Source organism: Homo sapiens, chromosome 8 (assembly GCF_000001405.40).
Source record: "Homo sapiens chromosome 8, GRCh38.p14 Primary Assembly".
In the NCBI taxonomy this organism is placed as follows: Eukaryota; Metazoa; Chordata; class Mammalia; order Primates; family Hominidae; genus Homo; species Homo sapiens.
The window spans coordinates 123,486,458-123,503,607 of NC_000008.11; the positions used below are offsets into that span (position 1 = coordinate 123,486,458).

The window sequence follows — 17,150 nt, forward strand, 5'->3', positions numbered from 1 at the left end:
TCCACAGTATGGATTAATGAACATGTCTTATGCTTATGAAGTGGAACTCATTATTCTTGATTAAAGAACATGTTTTGGGGGATTTGTGCGGTTGGGAACCTCAGAGGAGCCTCTCAGTTTCACAAAATGCTACCCAGATGCAATGATGTCATTTATGAGGCCACGGTCCTCTTCAGGTAGGGGGCAGCTAAATTCTATTTGTTTAATAAAAGTAGATGTTTTGAATGACTTCCAGAGAGAGTTGGATTCCACAGGCAGATGGAGCTATTATCCGTGTTTTTTTCTCCCCAGTGACAGGCTGCAAGCCTGTAATTCCAGTGACTAGCAGCCCTCATTTGGGAGCTGGGATGGTTCTACAAACACCACTTCAATCCCCACCTCCTTTACTGGCTGCTGAGGCTGCTGAACTGGGGGACATCCCTTAATGAGATGCAGCAAACATAGCTCAAACCCAGCTACCTTCTTGGTATCCACTCAATTTATGGAACGCTCTCGTATCCTTGTGTGCTGCTGGGGGCAATGAAAGCTGCCTCACCACCCCTCCAGCTCCCAGGCCTCTGTTCTGTCCAAGTCTCTCTTCCCCAGCCCCAAGCAATATTTGCAAGTCTGTTGCCCCAGCAGCCATGCATAGGGGAGTGATTGACTGGCTTGCATGTTGCTGGCACTTCTGATACAGGACATTATTTCATAATGTCTATTTCAGATCCATCTGTAGTTCTCCTTTTCTCCCTGACAGTGCAGGGCGAGGCTGTGGCTACAATGGCTGCTGGTACTCTCCCTTAGCTGTCTCTGTTTCTGGAGCTTACATGGGTGTTGGGGGATAAGGGCGTGGTGGGGTGGTGGTTAGGAGTAGGCAGAGTTGCCTCCTGACTTGGCCATTCAAGAAGAGGTTTCTCTCCTCTCCCTGTGGGTTGTTGCTGCCAGGTCTCCCTGGGGCAGGCATTCCAAGCTGGCTATTCTGTGGGGCACGGGAGCAAGTCCTTTGGGACTATTTCCCCATACGCTTTCCAGACTGGAGCTTCTGGTACAGGAGACAGAAAGAAATTATTAAGCCATGCCGGGTACGGTGGCTCACACTTGTAATCCCAGCACTCTGGAAGGCCGAGGCAGGCAGATTACTTGAGATCAGGAGTTCAGCCTGGCCAACATGGTGAAACCCTGTCTCTACTAAAAATACAAAAATCAGCCGGGTGTGGTGATGGGTGCCTGTAATCTCAGCTACTTGGGAGACTGAGGCAGGAGAATCGCTTGAACCCAGAAGGCGGAGGTTGCAGTGAGCTGAGATCGCGCCACTACTGAACTCCAGCCTGTGTGACAGAGTGACACTCCGTCTCAAAAAAAAAAACAAAAACAAAAACAAGAATTATTTAGGCAGACATTGAGGGTAAAAGAGTCCTCTGCAGGACTTCCCTTTTAACAAAAATCAGCCTAAGAAATTCTTTTTTCTAATAAAGAGCAGACTGAAAAATCAAGCTGCAAACAGATAAGCAAGCTGGAAGCTTTCACAGGTGAATGCCGGCCGCTGTGCCAATAGAAAGGGCTACCTGGGGGCCAGGTATGTTCAACATGGAGGCTCCATCTTCCCTTTTATTTGTTACCACATGTACAATACAGAAATAGGCAACCTGGTGCCAGTCAGGTAGAGAGCATCTGCATAATAAAAGATTAAGGTGGAGAGTCCAGAAATTCACACACTATGCAAATGGCACACCTGGTCTGACCAATCTTTTGTTCCTATGTAAATCAGACACCGCCTCAAGCTCATCTGAAAAAAAACCCCTGCATTTCACCACGGACCCGAAACCCACTGGGGACCCATCTCTCTGCAGCAGAGAGAGCTATTCTCTTGCTTTTGCCTATTAAACGTCTGCTCTTAAACTCACTGTTTGTGTGTCTGTGTCCTAGCTTTCTGTGGCCATGAGACAACGAAATCTCAGGTATCACCCCAGATGAACGATGCTGTTCCACTTCGGGGCTTTGTGAATGATTCTCCTGGAGTCCCCACTGTGACTTACAGGAGAAGATAGGCTCTTTCCATGAATACTACTCTCCTTTCCAGGGTGTCCTTCTTTCTCCTCACCCCTTCTTTTATATTGATGCTGGGAATGGAATGAGTAGGATCAATTCTGGCCTCTTGATAAACCCTGTATGGAGGTGGCTGGCTCCAACTATTGAAACTGGAAACTAGAATATCAGGAGGATACTCAATGCCATTTGTCTTCTGAACTGGGTTCTAAAAGAAATTCATTTATTTATTTTAGACACAGGGTCTTCCTTTGTCACCCAGGCTGGAGTGCAGTGATGTGATCACAGTTTATTACAGCCTTGAACTCTGGGGCTCAAATGCTCCTTCTGCATGCTGAGTAGCTAGGACCACAGGTGCACATCACCACCCCAGACTAATTTTTTTTTTTTTACATTTTGTAGCGATGGGGGTCTCTCTATGTTGGCCAGGCTGGTCTGGAACTTTTGGCCTCAAGTGATCCTCCTGCCTCAGCCTCCCAAAGTGCCGGGATCATAGGCGTGAGCCACCGTGGCCAGCCAGCATTAGGTTTTATCCAAAGTTCTGGGAAAATAAGATAAACTCCATTCAACATCTATTGCAGTAGTTGGTTAATTACAGAGTGTGATGCTCTATTATAGTTTTTTGGGGGGCAGGTCATTAACATTTCTAGGTCTTGGTTGTCTCATCTGTGAGATGGGGGTAGTGGGTATGCCTCTAGGAAGGTAGCAGAAACTGGACCATGTCACCTCTTCAGATCTCTGTCAGGTAGAGCTTTGAGTCTATAGAGTTCATGGTTTTAGGTTTGCTTGATTTCAAGGTTTTTCTCTTCTCATCTTTGTTTCAAAAACTACATTCATATCAAAGCACTTCATAGTTCTGAAGCGCCAGACATAGAAAGAGGGACAGATCCTAGCTGGGGAAGGAGAGAGCATTTTGTTCATCCACGTGAGGGAAATGGAAGCCGAACAGTGCTCTGTGTCTAGTCTACTCCCAGTTATCAGAGGCAGGACTATTAAAACAAGTCGAGTTATTTCAAAGTTGTCAGCAAGTCTTCCTCCAATCAAAAGCCCATTTGGTTGGCAAGGCTAATGAAGGTTTATCCTAGAGACCTTGGGTATCTGGTGCAGGAAACATATTTCACAGACTCTTCCCAAAGTATTGCACTAGGTGCTGTGTGGGAGAGACAACGGTGGTGTCATAAAAGAACACTGGGTAGGCCAGGCACAGTGGCTCATGCCTATAATCCCAGCACTTTTGGAGGCTGAGGTGGGCAGATCACCTGAGGTCAGAAGTTTGAGACCAGCCTGGCCAACATATAGTGAAACCCCATCTCTACTAAAAAATAGAAAAATTAGCTGGGCATGGTGGCTCATGCCTGCAATCCTAGCTACTTGGGAAGCTGGGGCAGGAGAATCGCTTGAACCTGGGAGGCGGAGGTTGCAGTGAGCCGAGATCATGTGACTGCATTCCAGCCTGGGCGAAAGAGCGAGACTGTCTCTGAAACAACAACAACAACCCCCTCCCCCAAAAAAACCCAACACTGGGTATAGGGCTAGGCAGATTTGAGCATCTAAGACAGAGACAAAAAATGGAAAGTGGACTTAGTGAATACGAATAATAAATGTTTATGTAAAGCTTACTATGTGCCAAGCACTGCTCTAACCACATAACATGTATCAAATCATGCAAAACGCACCAACTCAATGACTCCTCATGGCAATTCTGTGACGCAGATGCTGTCATTGTGCCTATTTTACAGATGGAGGGACTGAGGCATTTTTGTATTTTTTGTAGAGGCAGGTTTCACTTTGTTGGCCAGGCTGGTCAAGGTTTAACACACAGTCCAACACAGCTAGGAAGTGGTGGGCTGGCTTCAGATTCTGTGCCCCTCACCACTGTGCTATGCTGCCTCTCTGAAGGAAGTAGGGGCTCTTTGGGATACTTTTGACATTAAGAAAGGATTAAATAGTACAATATAATGAAAACGTTTGAATACTCGTTTTAAAAGTACAAAAAAGAGAGAGCCACACAGGCACTTTTATGTGGGTCAGGAGTGACTGTTTTGTTGCACTCTTTGGCATCTGCCAAGCATGATTTCTCAGGATGTGGTGGTTGGCCGACTGCCCTTGTGGCCACTGGATTCCATTCTCTCTCTGGTTTTTCTCCCTTTCCCCCTGCCCTCTGAAACCTTCCTCTAGACTTCCCTTGCCCTTGTTCTCTTTCTAGGAGCTTGTATTATTCTTCAGAAAAACGGAACCAGTAGGAGGTACATGTCTTTCTCTCTACTGATAAATGTATATATATATGATCTCTCTGTCTCTAAATCTCTCTTTCTCTCTAGTATCTCTATCTGTCTATCTATCATCCATCTATCTATCATCTATCATCTCCATATATGCTTATATAGGTAGGTGTTTTTTGTTTTTTTTTGTGACAGAGTTTTGCTGCATTGCCCAGGCTGGTGTGCAGTGGCATGATCTCGACTCATCGCAACCTCTGCCTCCCAGGTTCAAGCGATTCTTGTGCCTCAGCCTTCTGAGTAGCTGGGGTTTCAGGTGCATGCCACAATGCCAGGCTAATTTTTGTATTTTTTGCAGAGGCATGTTTCACCATGTTGGCCAGGCTGGTCTCGACTTCCTGGCCTCAGGTGATCTGCCCGCCTTGGCCTCCCAAAGTGCTGCGATTACAGGTGTGAGCCACTGTGCCTGGCCGATATATTTTATTCTTTTAACTACTTTATTAGGTAAAGTAAAATATTTTGTTCCTTAAAATTGACCTATGTTTGGCTAGGCACAATGGCTCATGCCTGTAATCCTAGCACTTTGGGAGGCCAAGGTAGGAGGATTGCTTGAGGCTGGTAGTTAGACCAGCCTGGGCAACATAGCAAGACCCCATCTCTACAAAAAATAAAAATAAGAATAGCCCGGTGTGTGGTGTGTGCCTGTAGTCTCAGATACGCAGGAGGCTGAGGCAGGAAGATCACTTGAGTCCAGGAATTCAAAGTTGCAGTGAGCTATGATTGTACTACTGCACTCCAGCCTGGACAACAGAGTGAGACCCTGTCTCAAAAAAAAATTTTTTTTTGATCTCTCTGTATACCTTTATCTCTATTTATCTCTATCATCTATGTATGTATGTGATATGGTTTGGCTGTGTCCCCACCCAAATCTCAACTTGAATTTTATCTCCCAGAATTCCCATGTGTTATGGGAGGGACCCAGGGGGAGGTTATTGAATAATGGAGGCTGGTCTTTCCCGTGCTATCCTTGTGTAGTAAGTCTCATGAGATCTGATGGTTTTATCATGGGTTTCCGCTTTTGCTTCTTCCTCATTTTTCTGTTGCTGCTGCCACGTAAGAAGTGCCTTTCACCTCCTGCCTGATTCTGAGGCCTCCCCAGCCATGTGGAACTGTAAGTCCAATTAAACCTCTTTTTCTTACCAGTCTCAGGTATGTCTTTATCGGCAGCATGGTCTTCCCAGTCTCGAGTATGCGTTTATCAGCAGCATGAAAACAGACTAATACAGTATGTATGTAGATTTATTTTAAGAAATTAGCTTGCCGGGTGCCGTGGCTCACGCCTATAATCCCAGCACTTTGGGAGGCTGAGGCGGGTGGATCCTGAGGTCAGGAGATAGAGACCATCCTGGCTAACACCATGAAACCTCGTCTCTACTAAAAATACAAAAAATTAGCAGGGCATGGTTGCGGGCACCTGTAGTCCCAGCTACTCGGGAGGCTGAGGCAGGAGAATTGCTTGAACCTGGGAGGTGGAGCTTGCAGTGAGCCGAGATTGTGCCACTACACTCCAGTCTGGGCGACAGAGTGAGACTCTGTCTCAAAAAAAAAAAAAGAAGAAAGAAAGAAAAAAAAGAAATTGACTTATGCAACTGTGAGGGTGGCAGGTCCAAAATCTCCAGGGTAGGCTGGCAGGCTGGAGACCCAGGGAAGAGTTGATGTTGCCATCTTGAGTCCAAAGGCAGTCTAAAGGCAGAATTCCTTCTTCAGGAGATGTCACTCTGTTCTCTCAAGGCCTTCAGCTGATTGGATGAGGTATACCCACATTATGGAAGGCCTTACCCACGGTCTACTGATGTAAATGTTAATCACACCTAAAAAATACCTTCACAGCAACAACTAGACTGATGCTTGACCAAATGACTGGGTACCATGGCCTAGCCAAGTTGACACATAAAATTAACCATCATAGAACCACTTGAAGGGAGCTGAGGTTCATTTGAGCTTCTGTTAGTTTTCTGGAACACTGGGAAAGCTCTGGTACTGAGACCCCAGGGGACACAGCTTTAATTCTCTCTAAAAGGGAACTCTGTCCAAACTTTAGAGTAGTTTTTTTCCCCTCCCAAGAAATCTATCAATGCACAGAATGGACTTTGGTTGGTAAGTGTTAAGTATTGGTCTCTGGCCCTTGATCCCTAGTGCCATTTCTGGCTTCCAACAAAGGAGCTCATGCTTCATCCCACATTGTTCTCCTTCTCAAAAACGTGAACTCAGTTCTTCTTCCTATCTGAACTCCTCTAGTACCTTGTAACTGACTCTGGGCATTTAAAACTTTGGCTCCTGTATTGTAATTGATAACACATTTTCCAGCCCCTCCCACTCCTCCACCAGCAGGTAAGTTCCCTGAGGGCAAGGGCTAAGCTCACACTTCTGCCTGGCTGCTCCAGTGCCCACGACACTGCTGCTTCATAAACATTGCTCAGTGGAGACAATTTGCAACACTGATTCTCTGTGATGTTTCTTGGGCAGAAACGTGATTGGTGTCAGCCTCAATTTAAGCCTATGTAAAACAGGAAGGAGAAAACTTTACACCTACCATGGACAGAGGCTGACACCGCTTGTCTAGCTTTTGCACTGCCACGTATCTGGCGGTCAAAATAAGTCTTGCTTCTGAATTAGGCTGTGAAGATGGTTGTGCCTTTTATTTTCAGACAGATCCTTGCCCAGCTTGGGCTGAGGGCTATGCAGCATTAGGGACAGTGGGAATTTGTCTGGGGTGGGGGCAGAACTGGCAGGGAAAAGCTTTTGTAGGGGTGGGCTGCTAGACGTACTAGAGAAGCTGCCAGCTTAACTGTATTCGTTTCCTATTACTACTGCAACAAATCACACCTTCAGTGGCTTAAAACAACACAAATTTGTTATTTTTATAGTTCAGCAGGTCAGATCTGACATAGGTTTTGGTGGACTGATGTCAAGATGTCATCAAGACTGTTCCCTTCTGGGAGCTCTAGGGGAGAATCTCTTTCCTTGCCTTTTCCCGATTATAGGCACTGCTCTCATACCTTGGCTGGTGGTCTCCTCCTCCACCTTCAAAGTCAGCAAGGGCCAGTGGAGTCCTTGTGTTGCATCAGTTTGACCTCCGCTGCATTCCTCTTGTACTTTTAAAGACTCTGCCATAAATGTTACACTGGGGCTGGGTGCGCTGGCTCATGCCTGTAATCCTAGCACTTCGGGAGGCCAAGATGGGTGGATCACCTGAGGTCAGGAGTTCGACACCAGCCTGGCCAACATGACGAAACCCTGTCTCTACTAAAAATACAAAAATTAGCCGGGGGTGGTGGCAGGCATCTGTAATCCCAGCTACTGGGGAGGCTGAGGCAGGGGAATTGCTTGAACACAGGAGGCAGAGGTTGCAGTGAGCTGAGATTGCGCCATTGCACTCCAGCCTGGATGACAAGAGTAAAACTCCATCTCAAAAAAAAAAAAAAAAAGGCTGGGCGTGGTGGCTCACGCCTGTAATCCCAGCACTTAAGGCCATGAGGAGGGCAAAGCATAAGGTCAGGAGATCGAGACCATCCTGGCCAACATGGTGAAACCCCGTCTCTACTGAAAATACAAAAATTAGCTGGGCGTGGTGGCGTGTGCTTGTAGTCCCAGCTACTCGGGAGGCTGAGGCAGGAGAATCACTTGAACCTGGGACGTGGAGGTTGCAGTGAGCCGAGATCACGCCACTGCACTCCAGCCTGGCCACAGGGTGAGACTCGGTCTCAAAAAAAAAAGAAGTTACACTGGGCTCACCCAGATGGTCCTGGATAACCCCTACATCTAGAGGTGCTTAATTTAATCACATCTGCAATTTTACCTTTAACATGAAGCAACATATTCATAGGTTCCAGGAATTAGGATGTGGACATCTTTAGAGAGCTATTATTTTGCCTACCATGGTGGCCTTATGATTTCCATTTAACATAAGTGATTAGTGTAAGATATGATTTTAAATGGAAAGATGTGATAGTTTCACTTGTTTAACAATGTTAGAGTTTCTAAGAGAGTTTGAGATAAAATACATTTATGCTTAATTTGTGAAATTTGTAACTTATTTACTTGAGAATGTTTTGCTTATTAAGGCTGTAAGCTTATCTGAGCAAGTATTTGCAGTGTTTTTTCTTTTTGTTTTGTTTTGTTTTTGGGACAAAGTCTCACTCTGTCCCCAGTCTAGAGTGCAGTGACACGATCTCAGCTCACTGCAACCTCTGCCTCCCAGGTTCAAGTGATTCTCCTGCCTCAGCTTCCCGAGTAGCTGGGACTACAGGTGTGCACCACCACACCCAGCTAATTTTTCTATTTTTAGTAGAGAGGGGGGTTTCACCATGTTGGCCAGGTTGGTCTCGATCTCTTGATCTCATGATCCGCCCGCCTCGGCCTCCCAGAGTGCTGGGATTACAGGCGTGAGCCACTGCGCTCAGCCTGCAGTGTTTTTTTAAAAAGCAAATGCATTCAATTTATAATTGAAGTGCTTAAAAATCAAATGTATCAGATTTATAATTGCAGCTTTAAAATGTTTAAAGGATTTTTTTATTAAGTTTGTAAAAGAGAATTACTTTTTAGTGGGACTGTGATCTATTAAATTTGAGTTTATTAAGAGTAATAAAAGATCCTATTATTTTGTATTAAAATTTACTAGGCTTGTAAATATCAAGATTTGTTAGTGGAATTTAAAGGCAACTTTAATGAAAACTGGGTCTCTGTATTTGTTACTTTATCAACAGACATTAATTTTAAATCAAAAAGCTGTAAATAATTCTGTCTATGACATAAACTCATGCCAATTTTTGTTCTAGTTAAGTGTGGGTATATGGTCCTAAGACTTTCAAAAGCATTTTTTGAATGTATATATCGTGGTCCCCAACCTTTTTGGTACCAGGGACTGGTTTCTGTGGACTGGGCGGGTGCGGGGGGGATGGTTCTGGAATGAAACTGTTCTATGTCAGATCATCAGGCATTAGATTTTCACAAGGAGCACACAACCTAGATGCCTCACCTGCGCAGTTCACAACAGGGTTTGTGCTCCTATGAGACTAATGCCACCGCTGATCTGACGGGAGGTGGAGCTCAGGTGGTGACACTCACTTGCCTGCTGCTCACCTCCTGCTGTGTGGCCCGGTTCCTAACAGGCCATGGGCCAGTGCTGGTCCATGGTCTGGGGGTTGGGGACCCCTGGTATATATGGTCCTATTAATTCATTCAGCCCTGGCACTGTGCTAGGTACTATGCAATTGCCACAAGTAAGACTACGATGTAACAAAGTCCCTAGGCAAAGAAGTGTGATGGGAAATGGGATTCACTCAGCTGGATGAGGCTTTAGTGAGGAAGTGGCCCAAAGGTGCTAATCAGACAGATGATAGATGGTAGGGGAAGAACATTCTAAGGAGGCACATTACCTGAGCAGAGAAGGCTTGTCATATTTAGGGAATGGTGAGATTTTGTGATCCTGGTGGAGGTTTAAAAAAATGATCTCTAATTACTCTCATGTACCTTCTGTCATTTTCTGATTGACAGTTAGTGGTCAGATCGGAGGGCGTCCCAGAGTGAAAGTATCAGGTAAGCCAATCTCCCGCAAGTCAGTCACCTGAATAAATCATACCCTCCTGGAAACACAGTGCAATTCTGAACCCGATTCTTAGACTCTTGTTGCTCAGGAAATAACAATAATCATTAACACTGCCTGTCTCCAAGCAGTTCATATGTGTTAGTTCACTTAACCCTCTGAGCCATAAGAGATAGGTATTCTTAGAGTCGAGGAAATTGAGACACAGAGGGCTGAAGTGAGGTGACAAAGGCCACTCTGCAGGTAAGTGGCAGGACCATGATTTGAACCTTGTACAAGCTGTTTCTCTTTTCAGAATGCTCTTGCCCTCATTCCTCTGGGGCTGGCTTCTTCAACATCACTTCTTCAGAGAGGCCCCTGCTGCTTCGGTCCTCACTGTCTTAACTGGGTCCCACTTGTTATTCTAGATCTCAACCCTTTGTTCATTCCCCTCATATTGGTTATTACAAATAACTTTTTTTACTTGCTTTCTCCCCCACCCCCCCTTTAAAAATATTTTTTATTTTTATTTTTAATTATTTATTTTTGAGACGGAGTCTCGCTCTGTCGCCCAGGCTGGAGTCCAGTGGCACGATCTCGGCTCACTGCAAGCTCCACGTCCCAGGTTCATTCCATTCCCCTGCCTCAGCTTCCTGAGTAGCTGGGACTACAGGTGCCCACCACCACGCCTGGCTAACTTTTTTTGCATTTTTAGAGATGGGGTTTCACCGTGTTAGCCAGGATGGTCTCGATCTCCTGACCTCGTGATCCACCTGCCTCAGCCTCCCAAAGTGCTGGGATTACAGGCATGAGCCACCGCGCCCGGCTCTCCCCCGGCTTTTTTTTTTTTTTTTTTTTTTTTGAGACAGAGTCTTCCTCTGTCACCCAGGCTGGAATGCATTGCACTATGTCGGCTCATTGCAACCTCCGCCTCCCAGGTTCAAGAGATTCTCCTGCCTCAGCCTCCTGATTAGCTAAGACTACAGGCACCTGCCACCACACCCAGGTAATTTTTGTATTTTTAGTAGAGACGGGGCTTTACCATATTGACCAGGCTGGTCTTGAGCTCCTGACCTCAAGTGAGCCACCCGCCTCGGCCTCCCAAAATGTTGGGATTACAGGTGTGAGCCACTGTACCTGGGCCCTCTTTCTTACTAAAATCTAAATTTCATTAAGGCAAGGACGATCCCATCCTTGTCACCAAAAAACAAAACAAAACAAAACCACACACAAAAGGCAGGGACAATTTCTGTCTTGTTCACTACCCTATTCCCAGTGCCTTGCACAGGTCTAGCATATAGTAGCTGTTCCATGAATGCCTGTTGATGAATAAATTGATGTTGACTTCAAAATTCATTATTCCTTAATCATTCTGCTGTGCAAACAGTATATGAAAACATTCAATTTAAGCATAATGCTGTATTACGGACTCAGGTTGGTATTCAGCAACAAGCTTATTTTTCTATGGATTCCTAGAAATTTTACAAAAATGGTAACAAGTTTCTGGGAGAAGGAATATAAGTCTAAATAGGCAAAAGATAAACATATTTGGTATGATAAAAAGCCAACTTGAATTGGGACATACTAAAAATGCACCAGTGTGTGTTGTTGGAAAAACATTTATTGCAATTCAGTGTCAAAAGTTTTTTACAAAAATATGCCACCGTCTGGTACAAACAACTATAAAAAATCAGTTCATCATGCAAGAAAAGTGTGCAAATAATTTATACAGAAGGACTCAGCTCACACAATATTAAATAAACATCTCTGCATGTAATTGGTCTAACTTTATGCTTTAGTTACAATGTTCAACCCCCTCTAATACTTTTCATTTAAAAAAGTACATTAAAGCTTCTAAGCTTAGGACACAGGCTGTAATATACGCCCACTTTAGCCATGGTGATTGGCACTTGGTAGAATAAAGATGGCACCAAGGATTCCCAAGTATAGAATACAGCTTGGAGCCTTCTGCTTAACAGACTTGTGCTTCGTTAATTAAACAAACACATCTATACTCAAAGACAGAAAAAGTCATGTTTAAACTCCAGAAATAATGTAGCAGATGGAGTTTTAAGAAGTTCAGAGTTTTGGAGCAGCCATCATTTTTGGCCAAATGGAGCAGGGCCTAAGTTTTGAGAGATTCTCCAGAAAGCTTTGTTTGCTGAGTGAATTCAAGGACACTTTGAAAAATGCCCAGCAGACAAAGTCATGAATATCATGGCCCCTTGCTCCTGGCTGCCTCATGGAATAATCCCCCTTTGCTTAGTAAAAGATGAAGTTTAGTGGAGAATGAACATCCGCTGGGCTAGAAATGCACTGAATCTCATAGCTGGTCCTGAAGGAGGAAATGGAGAAGATGGATTAAATGTACCTCTGAGTCTAGGGGAGAGGAAACACCTGCTTCGGAATCTCAGTTTCTAGGGAGCAAGCCACTGCCCAGCCCTTCTGTCTTTTTTTATAACGGCCATTTTTGTAATAAAAATGTAAGTACCCAAGGAAGAAATAAAATTGTCAAAATATGCTGCTTTCTTTATAGCAAGCAGGTTGTACTCACTGGAATGCCACATTCACAACAGAATCAGAGGTCTGTGAAAACATTAAGTGGCTCCTTAACTTCTCCAGTAAGAATCAGGGACTTGAAATGGAAACGTTAACAGCCACATGCCCAATGCTGGGCAGTCTCCCATGCCTTCCACAGTGAAGGGCTTGAGAAAAATCACATCCAATGTCATGTGTTTCCAGCCACACCAAAAGGTGCTTGGGGTGGAGGGCTGGGGGCATAGAAGGTCAGGCCTCAGGAGGCCTCAAGTTCGCATTCAGCTTTGCCACTGTACCAGGTGGGCTGACGCACATCCCCTAAACATTCTGGATCTCTTACTCATCGTGAAAGGCAGACGCTCTAAGTCTAAAGTCTAGGGTAGGAGTTTCCATTCTTTGGAAAACCAAAGATGGTTACTCTTCTTAATGAAACTGAGAAGAAGGTATCTACAGAAAACACTGAATTTAAACAAATTATGACCTTGTTTGTTGAAGCCATCAAGGACCCAAGATATATCAAAGAACAACATCTCTGTATTGGCCTACAGGTTCAGAGTGTTTTGAGGTCTGTTTAAGCACTAATAGGATTTTAGGCCAGCATCCAGTCAGAAGAGATAGTTCACAGACTCAGAGTTGGAAACAGATTAAAAAAAAAAAAAAGATGTCAACATAGAAAATGATGATAGAGTTTAGTTAAAAAAATTCACACATAAAATTACAGTTAAAAAAATTCACACATAAAATAGAGTGTTTGCATAGCAAGACATTATTGCCCTTCAGCCTGGCAGAAAAACATAAACTCAGGTGTATATTTTATAATAAACATTGTATTGAATGCTAAGAATGATACACTGTTGAACATCTCCTGAATGGTTTGCCTTCTTGTAAATCATACCAATTGTTTAGACAATTGAAATTCCAAGCTCTTTCTCTTCTCCCATATAAAAACAACAGAAACAGGAGGCTGTTAGTAGCAAGCTCCTCATGGGAAAGGGTATGTGAATCCACAAAGACGAGAACTATGGCAATAGCATAATACACACCCGCTACCTTACTGCCCAAGTGCTAGTAGAACCTGCTCTAGTGTTCAGAGTTTTGCAGTACAAACCCAGTCCCTCTGAAATACGTCTTCCAAGCCACTTCAATGTAAACCTGATCATCATTAAACAAAAATCATCTCACAACTGATACATTGGGGATGCTTTCACCTAATAGCTTTTGTTCATTTCTGCCATTTGCCCTCCCATTCAACTGATTTGTCTGCTCAAAGTAACAGCATTGAGTGATAATGCAATCTAGTTTAAAATGCCATTGGATTTTTTTTTTTCTGGATCTTGCTCTAGTGTGAGCACTCCTGAACTTCACATATTCTCCTTGTCCCAAATGCAAGGGTTTACTCTCAAGAGACTCTAGGCTCACTGCCCATAAACCTTTGAGTTGGACCAAATCTTAACATCCCTGTGGATTTGCTCATACTGCCCTGGGCAGAACTCTTTCCTTCTTTGGAAGTCTGAATTACTTCATATTTGACATCTATTTTGAAATTCTGTTTTACAGGGTTTAGGATGGGGGTAGGTAGGCACAGGAAAGAGAGTAGAGCATTCTCTCTTTTCTAGCAATTTCCATTATCATGCCCCTTCTAGCTTTTAGACCAGCAGTTCTGAGACAGGGATTATTTGCTTTTGTTTGATAGGTCAGGTTGTCTGGGATGGTTTGCCAATAGAAATTCTATAGACTATTATTGTTCAAAGAGCAAGAATTGTCTTAACTCTCTTCACTTATATGTGAGGCTCTGGCCATACTTAACAGATACCACGTGGCACTAACACAGATATGTTGTGCCTGCTGTGCTCTTCCCATTGTCCCCACACAAGCCACAGCATCAAAGACATGCCATTTCTATTCCTTTCCCCCTCCCTCTCTACCTGCCATTTCTTTCCTTATTCTCCTCTTCCAATGAAAGAGAACCATAAAGGTTGATTTCTTCTTCATTTTCCTTAAAAAATTTCCTTGAGTCTGTCATACACCAGCTCCAATAACACCAAAGGACACGGGGAGAGCCCACTGGTACCATCTTGGTAAACATTTAATTAGACCGTAACCCTTCTCTTGGGGCAGAGGTCATCTTGCACAGATGCACATGGTTGCCTGGAGTCTATCGTACAATCATGTGCACTGCTGACAGTCTAAATGACACCAGTGTCCCAGTTTTGTGCTGACAGTCCACAGCAGGCAATGTTTCTGCGACTGCAAACCTGAAGGCGACGAGGAGTTTCTACTTTCTTGATCAGCATGAAGGGGCAGAGATCACCAGTTGGTGGCAACATGTGGAAGGCCATGAACCCCTAAATCTAAAAATGTCACTAAGAGTCAAAAGTTCCAGAGCTCTCTCAGTGATGGCACACCCAACTCCACCCCATGTCTTTGAGGAAGCTGAGAAATTGGAGAGAACCTGACAATTATAGAAGAAGTAGCTTTTTATTCAGCAGTCTAGGTCCTGCATTCCCAATGTGAAATTGGTTCAGGGGGAGAGGGATTGCAAAAAAAAAACAAAAAAAAACAAAACAAAACACACACCTTAGATAGAATAATGGTTCGTGACCTTCCAAAGCTCAATCTTACCCAACAAAATCCTATTCTTTCATATTTAATTTCTCTTATTAGGGAAAATTTAAATTCAATGTAATTTTTTTCTCAGGGGGATGATAATGAAAAAAACTGGAGAAATTCTGGCGTAGCACAAACATTGCAAAGTGAGGAGCACTAAACAGTAGGTTCCTTCTCTTCAGAAAGCTGATATGTGGGTTGTGTGCTATTGAGGGCAGGGGCTGAAGCGGTGTTGTATCATAGCTTGTCTCTTGCCTCGTTTCTCTCCATGCTTAGCCATCTTTCCCCCTTTCCAGGTCACCCAAAGCTCAGCTCTTAAAGATACACTGTTCCTCAACTTGAATGTGGACTGTGTTCCTATTTCTGCTTCACTTATTTGCCAAGGGCATGCAGGGTGACAAGTTTATTTGGAAAAAAAAAAAGCATATACAACTGCAAATATATGTACATTGTTGTAGGAAAGCAACAATATTCTGTAAAAAGTAAAAAACTGGGAGTAGATCCCCCATCTATTCCCAGGAATATTTTACAACGAACTCATTAGGTCCTGAGATTTCCTTTCTTCCACAGTTACCTGCTGATATTTGCCTCGTAAGATCCCCTTGGGATCTTCCTGTTTTAACTACCCAGCCCGGAAGCAAGTTTAAGATGAACTTGTGGTACCTCTCCTCCCTATTTGGCTGGAACTCCAGCCTTGATTTTTAATCACCTTTGCAAAAAGCCCTAGCTCAGATGGACTCATTTTGATGTTGGACCTAAAGAAAAGAAGCTCCTCAGCTCATCCCCTTGGCAAGGGGTACAGCAACTGGTAAGATGTTTAATTGGCTGATTGTAAAACCTGTCTTTCGAGCCTCAGCACTTGGGCCCCACTCTGTCCACAGACACAGGCTTATCCATGAAGATATCCAAGGAAGGAAGTTCAGCAGGAATAAGGAAGTCTTCACAGCTATTGATTGGGTGACCAATTCTATCATCTTTTCTGCAGCAGGACTTCCTCTGGGACGGCTTTTGTTTTGTTTTGTTTTGTTTTGGAGACAGGCTGGAGTGCAGTGGCACAATCATAGCTCACTGCAAACCTCAGACTCCTGGGCTCAAGCAATCCTCCCCTGGGACTGTTTTAAGTTGGCCTTCTTTTCCCCCAAATGAGCTACAACATGACAGGAAAAAAGGAACATGTGCTTTTGGGTTGTTCTGGTGAACAGATAACTCTAAGGAGGGCCCTGTTTGCCTGAAAAGGAAGTGTGAAACCAGAGGATTGCCTCCAATATCCCTTTCCATTTTAAATCACTTTTTATAGTGATGAAAACACTTACGAGAAAAACAGACACTGCCTACTGGATCACATGCGTTGTCAGAGAGGGCACTCTACGCTTTTAGAGGTAGACCATTGTGTGGTATCTCTGTAGGGTAAGGCTCTGTGCCCATGCAGGTTTAGGATGGGTGGCGCTTCCTTCGCCTTCTCAAAACAAACACCAGATCAAACCCCAAAGCCCAGGAATTTCTCCTATATAGTTTTCCTTCTTCATTTTTTCTTTTCTAAACAAATTTTCACATTGTAAACAAAGCGTCCTATTTTGTATTTGAGTTTTGCCTTTTTCTTCCTAGGGAACTATAAGAGAGTTTCTGTGACCATTAAGAGGACTCCATTTTCACCGCTGAAATAGAATTATTGCCCTTATAGTCTTGCTGGCAAATTGTTAGAAAAAAAGTTTATTTACAGTATTTTGCTTTTCCATACCAATTCTAGTGAGAAGTTCACATTCTTAAATTCCCAGTCAGCAACTGCATTTCTCCCCTCCAATGTCCTCTCCATGACTTATCTCTGAAGTTTCGAGCCAATGTTTAAAATGTACACTATTTACAAATGAAGTGTCCAAATGCCATATTCCCAGCTCTCCAGTCAGCAGGGGGACCCTTCTGAAGTGTTGTCATGTGCTGGGATTCAGAACTTGAACAAGTTGATAAAGTCCTGGGGTGAAAGTGAAACGGAGCAGCTCTCTGGGTTATTGGCAGTGCACGGATGGTCAGTGCCCTGGAAAGGAACACATGGTTAGCTTCAAGTTCTCAGAGGCCTCTCTTTGGCTTTTAGCACCATAAGGCATTTTCCAACTTCAAAGCAACAATTCTCTGTCAATAATGCCCCAGGCCTAAATGTTGCATGTTCTCACTCGTATGTG

At 44.0% G+C, this 17,150-nt stretch overlaps 1 protein-coding gene across 3 annotated transcripts in view; it reads right to left on the reverse strand.

Moving 5' to 3' along the window:
* Positions 1-11,431: 11,431 nt before the first annotated feature.
* FBXO32 (F-box protein 32) overlaps positions 11,432-17,150 on the reverse strand; it is a 43,318-nt gene continuing 37,599 nt past the window's right edge. For all 3 annotated transcript variants that reach the window (NM_001242463.2, NM_058229.4, NM_148177.3), the window contains one exon: positions 11,432-17,005. In NM_001242463.2, the coding sequence (NP_001229392.1) occupies positions 16,916-17,005 (90 nt within the window). In that variant the 3' untranslated portion in view covers positions 11,432-16,915. The remainder of the gene's footprint in view (positions 17,006-17,150) is intronic.